Source organism: Homo sapiens, chromosome 9, assembly GCF_000001405.40.
Source record: "Homo sapiens chromosome 9, GRCh38.p14 Primary Assembly".
Classification (NCBI taxonomy): domain Eukaryota; kingdom Metazoa; phylum Chordata; class Mammalia; order Primates; family Hominidae; genus Homo; species Homo sapiens.
In genome coordinates this window covers 19,849,079-19,866,755 of record NC_000009.12, presented here as the reverse complement: position 1 = coordinate 19,866,755, position 17,677 = coordinate 19,849,079, and the positions used below count along the sequence as shown (strand labels likewise).

The window sequence follows — 17,677 nt, the reverse complement described above, 5'->3', positions numbered from 1 at the left end:
CTGAGGCAGGAGAATGGCATGAACCTGGGAGGCGGAGCTTGCAGTAAGCCAAGATCACGCCACTGCACTCCAGCCTGGGCGATAGAGCGAGACTCCGTCTCAAAAAAAAAAAAAAAAAAAAAAAAAAAAAGTGAAAACGTGATGTTTGTCTTTTTGTGCCTGGCTTATTTCACCTAACATAATGATCTCCACTTTCATCCATGTTGTTGCAAATGACTGAATCTCGCTATATTTTATGGCTGAATAATACTCCATTGTGTACAAATACCACATTCTCTTTATCCAGTCATCTGTTGATGGACCCTTAGGTTTTTTCCAAATCTTTACTATTGTGAAGAGTGCTACAACAAACATGGGAGTGCAAATATAGCTTCAATATATTGATTTCCTTTCTTTGGGATATATACTCAGCAGTGGTATTGCTGGATTTTATGCTAGTTCTATTTTTAGTTTTTTGAGGAATCTCCAAACTGTTCTCCAAAGTGGCTGTACTAATTTACATTCGCACCAACAGTGTATGAGGGTTCCCTTTTCTCCACATCCTTGCCAGGATTTGTTATTGCCTGTCTTTTGGCTATAAGCCATTTTAACTTGGGTGAGATGACATCTCATTGTAGTTTTGATTTTCATTTCTCTGATGTTTAATGATGTTGAGCACCTTTTCATATGTCTGTTTGCCATATGTATGTATTCTTTTGAGAAAGGTCCATTCTAATCTTTTGCCCATTTTTAAATTGGATTATTAGATTTTTCCCCCCAATAGAGCTGTTTGCACTCCTGACATATTCTCGTTATTCCCTTGTCAGATGGCTAGTTTGCAAATATTGTCTCCCATTCTGTGGGTTGTCTCTTCAATTTGTTTATTGTTTCCTTTGCTTTGCAGAAGCTTTTTAACTTGCTGTGATCCCATAAGTTCATTTTTGCTTTGGTTGCCTGTGCTTATCGGGTATTATTCAAAAAATGTTTGCCCAGACTGAAGTCCTAGAGAATTTCCCCAATGTTTCCCTGTACTAGTTTCACAGTTTGTGGTCTTAGATTTAAGTCTAAACCATTTTTATTTGATTTTTGTATATGGCAAGACATAGGGGTCTTGTTTTATTCTTCTGTATATGGATATCCAGTTTTCCCAGCACCATTTATTCAAGAGACTATCTTTTCCCCAGTGTATGTTCTTGGCACCTTTGTGAAAAAGGAGTTCACTGTAGGTATGTAGATTTGTTTCTGGGTTCTCTCTTCTGTTCCATTGTGTGTCTGTTTTTATGCCAGTACCATGGTGTTTTGATTACCATATCTTTCTAGCATAATTTGAAGTCAAGTACTGGGATTCCTACAGTTTTTTCCTTTTTGCTTAGGACAGCTTTGGCGATTCTGGGTCTTTTGTGTCTTTTGTGGTTCCATATAAATTTGGGATTGATTTTTAGGGTTGCTTTTTCTATTTCTGTGAAGAATGTTATTGGTATTTTTATAGAAATTGCATTGTATCTGTAGATTACTTTGGATAGTATGGACATTTTAAAAATAGTGATTGTTCCAATGCATGAACATGGAATACCTTTCCATTTTCTGGTGTCCTCTTCAATTTTTTTCCTCAGTGATTTATAGTTTTCATTATAGAGATTTTTCATTCATTCGGTTAAGTCGATTCCTACGTATTTAATTCATTTGTCGCTACTGTAAATGGGACTACTTTTTAAATTTTCTTTTTCACTTTGTTCAGTTGGCATATAGACATGCTACTGACCTTTGTATGTTGATTTTTGTATCCTGCAACTTTATTAAATTTATCAATTCTAGGCATTTTGTGGTGGAGTCTTTAGGTTATTCCAAATATAAGATCACATCATCTGCAAACAAGGATAATTTGATGTTTTCCTTTCCAATTTGGATATCCTTTATATCTTTCTCTTATCTGATCACTCTAGCTAGGACTTCCAGTACTATGTTGAATAACAATGATGAAAGTGGGCATCCTTGTCATGTTCTAGATCTTACAGGAAAGGCTTTCAGTTTATCCCCATTCAATATGATACTAGCTGTTCATCTGTCATATGTAGCTTTTATTATGCTGAGATATGTTCCTTCTATACCCAGTTTTTTGAGAGATTTTATCATGAAGGGATGTTGAATTTTACCAAATGCCTTTTCATCAAATGAAATGAACATATGGTTTTTGTCCTTCATTCTGTTGATATCATGTATCACATTAATTGATTTGCATACGTTGAACCATCCTTGCTTTACAGGGATAAATTCTACTTGGTCATGATAAGTGACATTTAAATTTGAATTTGTTTTTCTAATATTCTATTGAGAGTGTTTGCATCAATATTCGTCAGGTACATTGACCTGTAGTGTTTGTTTTTTGTTTTTTGTTGTTGTTTTTTTTTCTGGTTCTTTGTCTTGTTTGGGTATCAGGGTAATACTGGTCTTGTAGAATGAGTTTGAAGTATTCCCTCTGCCTCCTCTATTTTTTGGAATAGTTTTAGGATTGGTATTAGTTCTTTAAATATTGGTAGAATTCAGCAGTAAAACCATTGAGTCAGGCTTTTCTTTATTGGAAGACTTTTTATCATGGCTTCAATCTCATTGCTTGTTATTGGTCTGTTCAGGTTTTGGATTTCTTCATGGTTCAATCTTGGTAAGTTGTATGTGTCCAGGAATTTGTCCATTTTTTCTAGATTTTCCAGTTTATTGGCATGTAGTTGCTCATAGTAGCCACTAACGATCCTTTGAATTTCTGTAGTATCAGTTTTAATGTCTTTTTCATCTCTGGTTTTATTTGTTTGAATCTTCTCTCTTTTTTTGTTAGTCTGGCTAAAGTCTGTCAATTTTGTTTAACTTTTTAAAAAAACAACTTTTTGTTTCGTTGATCTTTTATATTTTCTTCATTTCTGTTTCATTTATTTCTGCTCTGAGCTTTATTATTTCTTTTATTCTACTAATTTTGGGTTTCCTTTTCTAGTTCTTTAAGATACACCATCAGGTTGTTTATTTGAAGTTTTTCTTTTTTGATGTGGGCACTTATAGCTATAAACTTCCCTTATGGCTCCACTGTATTCCATAGATTTTGGTAAGTTGTGTTTCTGTTAGCATTTGTTTAAAAAAAAATTCAATTTCCTTCTTAATTTTTTAATTTACCCACTGGTCATTCAGAAGAATATTTAATTTCCATGTATTTGTATAGTTTCCAAAATTCCTCTGGTTACTGATTTCTAGTTTTATTCCATTATGGTCAGAGGATGCTTGATATGATTTCAATTTTGTGAGTGTTTTGAGACTTGATTTGTGACCTAACATATGGTCTCTCTCTGAGAATGATCCATCCTGCAGTTCTTGGATAAAATGTTCTGTAAATAACTATTAGATCCATTTGGTCTAGAGTACAGATTAAGTCTAATGTTTCTTTGTTGATTTTCTGTCTGGAAGATCTGTCAATGCTGAAAGTGGGGTATTGAAGTCTTCAGCTATTATCGTATTGGGGTCTAGCTCTTTCTTTAGCTATGATAATATTTGCTTTATGTATCTGGGTGCTCCAGTGTTGGGTGCATATATATTTAAAATTGTTAAATATTCTTGCTGAATTGACCCCTTTACCATTCTATAGCGACCTTGTCTCTCTTATAGCTTTTGTCTTGAAATCTATTTTGCATAAGTACAGCAACTCCTGCTCTTTTTTGGCTTCCAATGGCATGGAATATCATTTTCCATCTCCTTATTTTCAGTCAGTGTGTGTCTTTATAGGTGAAGTGTGTTTCTTGTAGTAAAGACTTACTCCTGTCATATTGTTATTTATTTTCTGGTTGATTTGTGGCCTTCTCTTCCTTCTTTCTTTGTTTCCTTCCTATATTCCTTTCAGTGGAGGTGATTTTCTCTGGAGATGTGATTTAATTTCTTGCTTTTTATTTTTTGGGTACCCATTGCATGCTTTTTGGTTTGAGGTAAATTACCATGAGGCTTGCAAATACTATCTGATAGCCCATTATTTTAAGCTGATAACAACTTAACACCGTTTGCACAAACAAGCAAAAAAAACTAATGAAGACTGTACCCCATAACTTCATCCCTTCCACGTTTTAATTTTTTTGTTGTTACTGTTTATACCTTCTTATTGTACTATGTCTTGACAAGTTGTTATTATTATTTTTATTGGTTCATCATTTCATCTTTCTACTTAAGAGTAGTTTATACACCACAGTTGCAGTGTTATAACACTCTGTGTTTTTCTGTGTACTTAACGATTACCAGTGAGATTTGTACCTTCAGGTGATTTCTTATTGCTCACTAACATCCTTTCCTTTCTGATTGAAGTACTGTTTTAGCATTCTTGTAGGACAGGTCTAGTGTTGATGAAATCCCTCAGCTTTTGTTTGCCTGGGAAAGTCTTTATTTCTCCATTTTTGAAGGGTAATTTCTCCAGATATACTATTCTAGGGTAAAAGTTCTTTTCTTTGAGTATTTTAAATATGTCATACCACTCTCTCCTAGCCTGTAAGGTTTCCACTGAATAGTCTGCTGCCAGACATATTGGAACCCCATTGTTTGTTATTTGTTTATTTTCATTTGTTGTTTTTAGAATCCTTTACCCTTGACCTTTGGGAGTTTGATTATTAAATGCCTTGAGATTGTCTTCTTTGGGATAAATCTGCTTGGTGTTCTGTTGCCTTCCTGTACTTGGATACTGATATCTTTCTCTGGATTTGAGAAGTTCTGTTATTATCCCTTTGAATAAACTTTCTACCCTTGTCTCTTTCTCTACCTCCTCTCAAAGGCCAATAACTCTTCAATTTGCCCTTTTGAAGCTATTCTCTAGATCCCGTAGACATGCTTCATTGGTTTTTATTCTTTTTTTCTTTTGTTTCCTCTGACTCTGTATTTTTAAATAGCCTGTCTTCAACAAGTTCACTAGTTCTTTCTTCTGCTTGATTAATTCTGCTATTAAAAGACTCTGATGCATTCTTCAGTATGCCAACTGCATTTTTCAACTCCAGAATTTCTGTTTGATTCCTTTTAATTATTTCAATTTCTTTGTTAAGTGTATCTGATAGAATTCTGAATCCCTTCTCTGTGTTATCTTGAATTTCTTTGAGTTTCCTCAAGAAAGCTATTTTGAGTTATCTGTCTGAAAGGTGACATATCTCTCTTTCTCTGGGATTGATCCATGGTGCATTATTTAGTTCATCTAATGAGGTCATGTTTTCCTGGATCATCTTTGTAGATGTTCATCTGTGTCTGGGGATTGAAGTGTTAGGTATTTATTGTAGTCTTTACAGTCTAGGTTTTTTGTGCCCATCCTTCTTGGGAAGGCTTTCTAGATATTTGAAAGGACTTGGGCATTAGGATGTAAGCTGTATCTGATTTAGGGTGGACCCCAAGCCCAGTAGTGCTGTGGTTCTTGCAGACTTGTAGAGGTACTGCCTTGATGGTCTTATACAAGATCTGGAAGAATTCTTTGAATTACCAGACAGAGACTTTTGTTTTCTTCTCTTACTTTTTCCCAAACAAATGGAATCTCTTTTTCTGCTCTGAGCCACCTGGAGCTGAGGGTGGAGTGACACAAGCACCCCCTGTAGCCACCATCCCTAGGAGTGTACTGGATCACACATAAAGCCAACACAGCACTGGGTCTTACCCAAGCCCTGCTGTAATCCCTCCCTGGCTACCAGTTATGTATGCTAAAAGCCCTGGGGCTCTATAATCAGGAGGTGGCAAAGCCAGCCAGGCCTATCTCCTTCCCTTCAGGGCGTCAAGTTCCTCTAGGCCCTGGGTGGGTCCAGAGGTGCCATCCAGGCTAGAGTCAAAAACCTTAGAAGTCCACCTGGTATTCTATTGTACTGCTTCTGAGATGGCACTCAAACCACAAGACACGGTTCTTCCCACTCTTCTCTCCCCTTTCCAAAGGCAGAAAAGTCTCACCTTCAGGCCACTGCCACCTCGGGCCCACGATGAATATTGCCAGACAACTGCCAATGTTCTCTTAAGGCCCAAGGGCTCTTCAGTTAGCTTGTCATGAATGCCTCCTGGTCTAGGACTCACCCATCGGGGACTGTGCTCCCCTCTGGCCCAGGGCAGGTCCAAAAATTCCATGCAAGAGCCAAGTCCTGGAATCAAGAACTCTAATGGCTACTTGGTGCTCTATCGCCCTGTAGCTGAGCTGGTTCCTAAGGTGCAAGATAAAGTTTTATTTACTTTCCCCTCCACTTTTCTCAAGCAGAAAGAATCTTGACCCATAGCCACCACAGCTGGGAATGTGCTGAGTCTCACCTGAACCCATCAAGTCTCAGTGTCTTACCAAGGCCCTCAACATCGTACTTGAGTATCACTGCTGGTTAGTCAGAGGCCAAGAGCTCTTCAGTTAGGTGATTAATCCTGCCAGGACTGGGTTCTTGCCTTCAAGGCAGCAGGTTCCCTTCTGGTCTAGGGTGTGTCTAGAAATGTCTGGGAGATAGGGCCTGGAAAAAGGGTCTCATGACTGTGACTGTTGCCTTATCCTGCTGTGGCTGAACTGGTATCCAAGATGTAAAATAAAGTCCTCCCCACTCTTTCATCTCCTCTCCTCAGGCAAAGGAAGGGGTCTCTTTTTGAGCCATGAGCTGTGCAACTTAGGGTTAGGGGAGGGATGATGTCAGTACTCCCTTAGCCACCCTGGCTGGTGTCTCAGTAGGTCACATGCTCCCCCAGTCCATTGTCTCTGGGCTCAGTTCAGTCCTAGGACTGCCTAGGAGTTGTAGTCTTTGTGTCCTAGACTATGTTTTAAGTTTATTTGATAACCCAGAGCACTTTAGCCCATGGTGTCAAGGCTTGTAGGAACTTAAGTTCTGATGCTGGGATGAGCAATTCCTCTCTGGCTAGGGCTGGTTTAAATGCACCCTCCTTATGTGGGCATCAGCTGAGTTTGGTCTGGTTTTGCTTCCTGCTATAACAAGGGCAGCACTAAGTTTAATGTCTTACAGTTGCTGGCTCTCACACTCCCCAGAGCACAGAAACACCCTCCTCACAATGCTGCCACTGCAAGGGGATGAGAAATGGGTGATGTCCTTGATTTCAGACTGTTTTTTGTACCTCTTCAGTGTCTCTTTTGGTAATATGAAATTAAAACCAGGTATTGTGAGTGCTCACCTGATTTTTGGTTCTTACAAGGTGATTTATTGTGCATGTAGATAGTTGTTTATTTGGTGTGCTTGCAGGGGGCAAGGGGAATTGGCAGAGCCTTTTATTTTATCATCTTGCTCTACCCCTCATCTTTTATTTTTAACATTTATTTTAGGTTCAGGGATACACGTGCACGTTTGTTGCATAGGTAAACTGCATGTCTTGGGGGTTTGATGTACAGATTATTTTGTCCCCCAGGTAATAAGCATAGTGCTCAATAGGTAGTTTTTTAATCTTCTCCCTTTTCCCATCATCCACCCTCAAGTAATCCCCAGTGTCTATTGTTCCCCTCTTTGTGTCCATGTGTCCTCATTGTTAGGTCCTACTTAAAAGTGAGAACATTCAGTATTTATTTTTCTGTTCCTGTGTTATTTTGCTTAAGATAATGGCCTCCAGTTCCATCCATGTTTCTGCAAAGAATATGATCTCATTCTTTTATATGGCTGCATAGTATTCCATGACATATATGTACCACATTTTCTTTATCCAGTCTACCATTGGTGGGCATCTAGGTTGATTTCTTGTCTTTATTATTATGACTAGTGCTGCAATGAACATGTATGCATGTGTCTTTATGGTAGAATGATTTATATTCCTTTGTGTATATACCCAATAATGAAATTTCTGGGTCAAATGGAAGTTCTGTTTTAATTTCTTTAAGGAATTGCCACACTGATATCCACAATTGCTGAATTAATTTTAATTCCTACCAGCAGTGCATAAGCATTCCTTTTTCTCCACAATCTTGCCAGCATCTGCTATTTTTTGACTTTTTAATAATACTGATTTTGACTAGTGAGATGGTCTCTCATTGTGGTTTTGATTTGCATTTCACTAAAAATTAGTCCTGTTGACCATTTTTCATAGGTTTCCTGGCCACATGTATGTCTTCTTTGAAAATTATCTGTTCATGTCATTTGCCTGCTCTTTAATGGGGCTGTTTGATTTTTGCTTATAAATTCATTTAAGTTCCTTAAATGAATCTTCTAGATATTAGACCTTTATCAGATGCATACTTTGCAGATATTTTCTCCCATTCTGTAGGTTGTCTGTTTATTCAGTTGACAGTTTATTTTGCTGTAAAGAAACTCTTTAATTAGGTTCCATTTGCCAATTTTGTTTTTGTTGCAATTGCTTTTGGCATCTTGGTCATGAAATCTTGCCCATTCCTATGTCTACAATGGTATTTCCTAGGTTTCTTCCAGAGTTTTTAGAGCTTTAAGTTTTATATTTAGGTCTTTAATCTTTCTTGAGTTAATTTTTGTGTATGGTGTAAGAAAGGAGTCCAATTCCAATATCTTTCATATGGCTAGCCAATTATTCCAGCACCATTTGTTGAATATGTAGTCCTTTCCCCACTGCTTGCTTTTGTCTACTTTGTCAAAGATTAGATGGCTGTGTGTGTGTGGCATTATTTCTGGGCTCTCCATTCTGTTCCATTGGTCTACGTGTCTGTTTTTGTACCAGTAACATGCTGTTTTGATTACTGTAGCCTTGTAGTATAGTTGGAAGTGAGGTAACATGATATCTCCAGCTTTGCTCCTTTGGCTTAGGATTGCCTTGGCTATTCAGGCTCTTTTTTGGTTCTGCATGAATTTTAAAACAGATTTTTTTCTAATTCTCAGAAGAATGTCATTAGTAGTTTGATAGGAATAGCATTGAATATGCACATTCCTTTGGGCAGTATGGCCATTTTAATGTTATACAGGAGGTTCTAGCTAGTGAAATGAGGAAAAATATAGCAACAGTACCCAGACTGCAAAGGACGAAATAGTACTCTTTATCCACAGATGATATGAGTCTGTCTGTAATTAGAAAATCCTAAATTCTGATAAATCTGCACACCAAAAAAAAAAAAAACCTACTGAAGTAATGTTAGTTTAGCAAGGTTTCAGGATACAGAATCAATATTTAAAACCCAATTGCATTTCCATACACTAGCAACAATCTGAAAATTAAATTAATAAATCATTTCCATTTATAATAGCTTCAAAAAGAGTAAAATAATTATGAATACATTTAACAAATATGTGCATAATTTGTATCTGTAAACTAAAAAATATTGCTGAGAAAAATTAAAGAAGATTTAAATACATACAAATGCAACCTATGTTTATGAATTGGAAGACTGAATATTGTTGTGATAGACTGAATAATGGCCCTCAAAAGATGTTCATATCTAATCTGCAGAACCTGGAGATTTGTTACTTAACATGATAAAAATAACTTTGTAGATGTAATTGAGGATTTGGGGATGGGAAGATGATTGTCCTAGATTACCTTGCTAGGCCCACTGTAACCACAGGGTCCTTAGAAGAGAAAGTTAGGAGGGTCAAAGTCAGTAATAGGAGATGTAATAATGGAAGCCAAAGTTGGGAATGATGCAAAGAAGTGGACACAAACCAAGGAATATAAGTAAACTCTAGAAGATTTTCAGCTTCATCTTCTAGGCGGAGAAATAGATTCTCTCCTGACAGCCTCCAGAAGAAACTAGTTCTACCACCACCTTAACATTAGCCCAGTGAGATTGATTTTTCAACTTTGTACTTCCACAACTGTAAGATAATAAATCCATGTTTAACAATAAAGTTAAAATACAACCCAGCAATTTTACTCCCCAACCCTAAAAGAAATGTTTAAATATGCCCACATGGCGGTGGTGGTCTCTGTGGCTCAGTGGACTTAGTCTTTCCTGCCTGCTGGCTCTGAAGAGGCCAAGCAGTCCAGATAAGGGGGATTTGTCCAGATGAGGGGGATTTCTCCCCAGTGCAGTGCAGCGCAACCGATCCACCATGGGGCAGCCAGAGCGCTTTGTTAAGCAGATCCTGGATCCAGTGCCTTATGACTGGGTGGGACCCTCCAACAGGCACTGCCAGACACCTTATACAGGAGCATTTCCACCAGCATCAGGTCAGTGCCCCTCTGGGACAGAGCTCCCAGAGGAAGGAACAAGCAGTCATCTTTGCTATTCTGCAGCCTCCACTGGTGACACCTCCCAGTGCAAGAGGGACCCAGATGAATAGGGTCTGGAGTGGACCCTCAGAAAACCACAGAAACCCTATGGAAGAGGGTCTTACCTGTTAAAATAAAAACAGATAAACAGCAACAACAACAACATAAACAAAAAAGACCCCACAAAAACCCCATCCAAAGGTCAGCAGCCTCAAAGTTCGAAGGTAGATAAGCTCATGAAGATGAGAAAAAAAATCAACACAAAATTGCTAAAAACTCAAAAAGCCAGAGTGCCTCTTCTTCTCCAAATGATCGTAACTCCTCTCCAACAAAGGCACAGAACTGGGCTGAGGTTAAGATGCATGAACTGACAGAAGTAGGCTTCAGAAGGTGGGTAATAATGAACTTCACTGAGCTAAAGGAATATGTTTTAACCCAATGCAAAGAAGCTAAGAACCATGATAAAACATTACAAGAGCTGTCAACCAGAATAACCAGTTTAGAGAGGAACATAAATGACCTGATGGAGCTGAAAAACACAACACAAGAACTTCACAATGCAACCACAAGTATTGATAGCCACATAGACCAAACAGAGGAAAGAATCTCAGAGCTTGACTATCTTTCTGAAATAAAACAGGCAAACGAGACTAGAGAAAAAAAATGAAAAGGAACAAACAAAACCTCCAAGAACTATGAGATTATGTAAAAAGACCAAACCTATGACTGATCAGGGTACCTGAAAAAGACAGGGAGAATGGAACCAAGTTTAAAAACATACTTCAAGATATTATCCAGGAGAACTTCCCCAACCCAGCAAGACAGGCTAACATTCAAATTCAGGAATTCCAGAGAATCCTGGTAAAATACTCCATGAGAAGATCAACCCCAAGACACATTATCAGATTCTCCATGGTTGAAATGAAGGAAAAAGTGTTAAGGGCAGCCAGAGAGAAAGGCAGGACACCTACAAAAGGAAGCCCATCAGACTAACAGCAGACCTCTCAGCAGAAACCCTACAAGCCAGAAGAGATTGGGGACCAACGTTCAACATTCTTGAAGAAAAGAATTTCCAACCCAGAATTTCATATCTGGCCAAACTAAGCTTCATAAGCGAAGGAAAAATAAAATCCTTTTCAGACAAGCAAATGCTGAGGGAATTTGTCATAACCAGGCCTGCCTTGCAAGAGCTCCTGAAGGAAGCACTAAATATGGAAAGGAAAAACCATTATCAACCACCACAAAACACACTCAAGTACACAGACCAATGACACTATGAAGCAACTACATTAACAAGTCTGCAAAATAACCAGCTAGCATTATGATGACAGGATCAAATTCACACATAAAAATATTAACCTTAAATATAAGTGGGCTAAATTCCCCAATTAAAAGATAAAGAATGGCAAGCTGGATAAAGAGTCAAGACCCATCAGTGCGCTGTATTCAAGAGACCCATCTTATGTGCAAAGACACCCATAGGCTCAAAATAAAGAGATAGAGGGAAATTTGCCAAGCAAATGGAAAGCAGAAAAAAGCAGAGGTCATGATCTTAGTTTCTGACAAAACAGACTTTAAACCAACAAAGATTAAAAAAGACAAAGGAGGGCATTACATAATGGTAAAGGGTTCAATTCAACAAGAAGAGCTTATTATCCTAAATATATATACACCAATACAGGAGCACTCAGATTCATAAAACAAGTTCTTAGAGACCTGCAAAGAGACTCAGACTCACACACAATAATAGTGGGAGACTTTAACACCCCACTGTCAATATTAGACAGATCATTAAGACAAAAAATTAACAAAGATATTCAGGACTTGAGCTCAGCTCTGGATCAAGTGGACCTGATAGACATCTACAGAACTCTCCACCCAAAAATGACAGAATATATATTTTTTCAGCACCACATGGCACTTACTCTAAAATTGATCACATAATTGGAAGTAAAACATTCCTCAGCAAATGCAAAAGAACTAAAATCATAACAGTCTCTCTGACCACAGCACAATAAAATTAGAACTCAAGATTAAGAAACTCACTTAAAACCACACAACTACATGGAAATTGAACAATCTGCTCCTGAATGACTCCTGGGTAAATAATGAAATTAAGGCAGAAATCAAGAAGTTCTTTGAAACTAATGAGAACAAAGAGACAATGTACCAGAATCTCTGAGACATAGCTAAAGCAGTGTTAAGATGAAAATTTATAGCACCAAATGCTCATGTAAAAAAAGCCAGAAAGATCTCAAATTGACATCCTAACATCACAACTAGAGAACCAAGAACTAACAAACTCTAAAGCTAGAGGAAGACAAGAAATAACTAAGCTCAGAGAAGAACTGAAGGAGATAGAGACATGAAAAACCCTTCAAAAAAAATCAACAAATCCAGGAACCTGTTTTTTGAAAAAATTAATCAAATAGATAGACTGCTAGCTAGACTGATAAAGAAGAAAAGAGAGAAGAATCAAATCAACACAATAATAAATGATAAAAAAGGATATCACCACTGACCCCACAGAAATACAACCAACCATCAGAGAATACTATAAACACCTCTATGCACATAAACTAGAAAATATAGAAGTGGATAAATTCCTGGACACATACACCCTCCCAAGACTGAAACAGAAAGAAGCTGAATCCCTGAATAAACCAATGAGTTCTGAAATTGAGGCAGTAATACATAGCCTACCAACAAGAAAAAGCCCAGGACCAGAAGGATTTACAGCTGAATTCTATAAGAAGTACAAAGAGGAGCTGATACCATTTCCTCTGAAACTATTCCAAACAATTGAAAAGGATAGACTCCTCCGTAACTCATTTTATGAGACCAGCATCATCCTGATACCAAAACCTGGCAGAGGTACAACAAAGAACACTTCAGGCCAGTATCCCTGATGAACATCGGTGCAAAAATCTTCTATAAAATACTGGCAAATCAAATCCACCAGCACATAAAAAAAGCTTATCCACCATGATCAAGTTGGCTTCATTCCTGGGATGCAAGGCTGGTTCAACATATGCAAATAAACAAATGTAATTTATCACATAAGCATAACTAAAGACAATATCCACATGATTATCTCAATAGATGCAGAAAGGTCCTTCGATAAAATTCAACATCCCTTCATGTTAAAAACTCTCAATAAATTAGGTATTGAAGGAACATACCTCAAAATAATAAAAGCCATTTTTGACAAAACCACAGCCAGTGTAATACTGAAAGAGCAAAAGCTAGAAGCATTGCCCTTGAAAACCGGCACAAGATAAGAACGTTCTGTCTCACCACTCCTATTCAACATAGTATTGGAAGTTCTGGCCAGGGCAATCAGGCAAGAGAAAAAAATAAAGGGTATTCAAATAAGAAGAGAGAAAGTCAAATAGTCTCTGTTTACAGATGACATGACCTACATCTAGAAAACCCCATCATCTCAGCCCAAAAGCTTCTTAAGCTGATAAACAACTTCAGCAAGTTCTCAGATATAAAACCAAAAATCACAAGCATTCCTATACACCAACAACAGATAAGTAGAGGGCCAAATTATTAATGAATTTTTATTCACAATTGCTACAAAGAGAATAAAATACCCAGCAATACATCTAACAAGGGAAGTGAAGGACCTCTTCAAGGAGAACTACAAACCATTGCTCAAGGAAATAAGAGAGGACACAAACAAATGGAAAAACGCTCCATGCTCATGGATAGGAAGAATCAAGATCATGAAAATGACCATACTGCCCAAATTTATAGATTAAATGCTATTTCCATTAAAGTACCATTGACATTCTTCACAGAATTAGAAAAAAAACTATTTTAAAATTCATATGGAACCAAAAAAGAGCTCATATAGCCAAGACAATCTTAAGCAAAAATAACAAAGCTGGAGACATCATTTTACTTCACCTCATTGTACTACCAGGCTACAGTAACCAAAACAGCATGGTACTGATACAAAAACAGACACATAGACCAATGGAACAGAATAGAAAACTCAGAAATAAGACCACACATCTACAATCATCTGATATTCAACAAACCTGACAAAAACAAGCAATGGGGAAAGGATTTCCTATTTAATAAATGGTTCTGGGAGAGCTGGCTAGCTGTATGCAGAAAATTGAAAGTGCACCCCTTCCTTATACCTTATATAAAAAATAACTCAAGATGGATTAAAGACATAAATATAAAACCCGAAAGTATAAAAACCCTAGAAGAAAATCTAGGCAATGCCATTCAGGAAATAGGCATGGGCAAAGATTTCATGACAAAAATGTCCAAAGCAATTGCAATGAAAGCAAAAACTGACAAATGGGATCTAATTAAACTAAAGAGCTTCTACGCAGCAAAAGAAACTATCATCAGAGTGAACCTACAGAATGGAAGAAAATTTTTGTAATCTATTCATCTGACAGAGGTCTGATATCCAGAATCTACAAGGAACTTAAACAAATTTACAAGAAAAAGAAAACACCATTAAAAAGTGGGCAAAGGACATGAATAGACACTTCTCAAAAGAAGACATTTATGTGGCAAGAAACATATGAAAAAAAGCTCAACGTCACTGATCATTAGAGAAATGCAAATCAAAACCACAATGAGATACTATCTTATGCCAGCCAGAATGGTGATTATTAAAAAGTCAAGAAACCACAGATGCTGGTGAGGCTGCAGAGAAACAGGAACGCTTTTATAGCATTGGTGGGAATGTCAGTTAGTTCAACCACTGTGGAAGACACTGTGATGATTCCTCAAAGATTTAGAACCAGAAATATCATTTGACCCAGCAATTCCATTACTGGGTATATACCCAAAGGAATATAAATAATTCTATTATAAAGATACATGCACTTGTATGTTCATTGCAACACTATTCACAATAGCAAAGACATGGAGTCAACCTCAAAGCCCACCAATGATTAACTGGATTTTTTAAAAATGTGGTACATACACACCATGGAATACTATGCAGCCATAAAAAGGAATGAGATCATGTCCTTTGCAGGGACATGGATGGAGGTGGAAGCCATTATCCTCAGCAAACTAATGCAGGAACAGAAAACCAAGCACCACAGGTTCTCACTTATAAGCGGGAGCTGAACAATGAGAACACAGGGACACAGGGAGGGAAGCAACACACACTGGGGCCTGTCAGCAGTGTGTGGGGGATGGGAGAGCATCAGGACAAATAACTAGTAATACCTAGGTGATGGGTTGACAGGTGCAACAAATCACCATGGCACACATTTACCTATGTAATAAACCTGCACATCCTGCACATGTACTTTGGAACTTCAAATTTAAAATACATATATATGCTGGGCCAGGCGCAGTAGCTCACACCTGTAATCCCAGCACTTTAGAAGGCCGAGGCAGGTGGATTACCTGAGGTCAGGAGTTCAGGACCAGCTTAGCCGACATCGTGAAACCCCATCTCTACTAAAAAGTACAAAAACTAGCCTGGCATGGTGGTGGGCTCCTACAATCCCAACTACTCGGGAGGCTGACACAGCAGAATTACTTGAACCCAGGAGATAGAGATTGTGGTGAGCCGAGATCACGCCATTGCACTCCAGCCTGAGCAACAAGAGACTCCATCTCAAAAAAAAAAAAAAAAATATGTATATATATATATATGTATGTGTATATATATATATATACATATATATATATATATACATATATATATATATATATATGTATATATATATATGCCCACATGAGTACTTGTACAGGAATGTTCATAATAGCCAAAAACTGGAAACAATCTAAATATCCATCAGCTGGTGACTAGATAAACATAAGGTGACATATCCACATAATGGAAAACTATTCAGCAATAATAAATGAAATATTGACACATGCTATGTTTTTAATAGATAAAACTTAATATTACATTAAATGGAAGAAGCAAGATATAAAACACTACATATTGTATGATTCCATTTATATGAAATATCCAGATCATGCAAATTTATAAAAACAAAGCACAGATCCATAGTTGCTTAAGGCTGGGATGGGAGGGAAGATTGAAAATTGCTCAAGAAAATTTTGGGGGATAATGGATATGTGCTAAAACTGGATTTTGATGATGACTGAGCAACTTTATGAATGGCCAAGAATCATTGAATTGTACACTTTAAAAGGGTAAATTTTATGATATGTAAATTATACCTCAATAAAGCTATAAATAAAAGGTATGCATATTTATGAGGAGATAGCATTGCTCATATATATATGCTTTGCACATTTAAAAAGTTTGTTATCTAGATGGTGACTACACAATTCAAATGTTCTACTCCTGAACTTTTCCTTGCATTTGAAAATGTTCAAAATATAAATTAGAAAAATTCTTTGAACTTTACATTTATTGCAGTATAACCTATAAATTATAAAGATGAGAGCATTGAATAATACTGTATGCTACTTTATCATATTAAATGTAATTTAAAATTATTAACTATTATGATGACTGCTTAATTTATTTTTAATTATTTTAAGGTCTTTATAAGTGTACAGGCATTTATATAATTTCAGGAGAGCATTCTTATAAAGAACTGAGCATCAGGCTTTTACTCAGAAACATAGCCCTACATAACATTCATCCTACAAAAAAAAAAAAAGCAGTTTTTATTCTTATGATTTAGATTTCTGGCCCCTTTTCTGGAAAAATAGCCTGCTGGAAATGTGCTAACTGCCTTTCAAATGTTATTCACATGTATCAGTTCTTTTTACTTTTTATTTCACAACGACCATTAAAGAACTTTCTATATCTAAATTCATTACAGAGACATTCACTTTAAATATCCTTGATTGTTGATAAAATATTATCTCAGTGTTTTGGTCTTTGCATTTTAGGTTGGTGCCAGCTATATTTATGTCTTCTCAGAGTCATAACATTCCAGACTTAGAAGGACAGAGACGTTTAGTTGGATACATGACAGAAAGTCTATAGCATAAAAAATAGACGCATTTCTAGGCTATAGCCTACACGTTGGTGAGTAAATTTTATTTTCACTCACATTCATAACTATTTTACAATAATGCATTTCATTTTTAAAATTAGATATGTCTTTTCTTTCCCCAGTGTGCTTTATTTCTCTATTGAAACATTCACAAACTAGTCATAAATGTAATAGTAGTACAATGTCTTTTCATTAGCCAATATTGTTAAAACATAGGCCCTATCTTCTATTTTCAGGAGAAGCTCATCATTTACACTTTTAAATTGAGTTGAACAATAGTGTCTCAGAAAAATAATAATTTTAACAATTAAAATACTGTAAAATATTACTTATATGCTTTACATTATCAGAGACATTTCACAAGTGTACAGACGTGTATCTTCATAGGATTTATTCTATGTATTCTTAGTGAGCAATTAAGAGTTTTCTTAAGAGTAATTTGGCCCTATATGTGCTTGTTTTTTTCTTGCCTCATTCACTGACTTTATCTAATCCCCAAACGCAGAGCAGAGGGAAGGTAAAGATGCAATGGCACACTACTGGGAAAACCTCCTCTGACAGCCACCCTTCCCCAGGGTCTCTGCCCACTCAGTGCCCCCAGC

General features: G+C 36.9%; 1 protein-coding gene across 1 annotated transcript in view; it reads left to right on the top strand.

Annotated features, from left to right (window-relative positions):
- The window catches only part of SLC24A2 (solute carrier family 24 member 2), an 800,438-nt gene that overhangs the window by 441,137 nt on the left and 341,624 nt on the right, over positions 1-17,677 (top strand). The window contains exon 5 of the mRNA XM_017014592.2: positions 16,969-17,107. The gene's annotated coding sequence lies outside the window, so the exon portion shown is untranslated. The remainder of the gene's footprint in view (positions 1-16,968; positions 17,108-17,677) is intronic.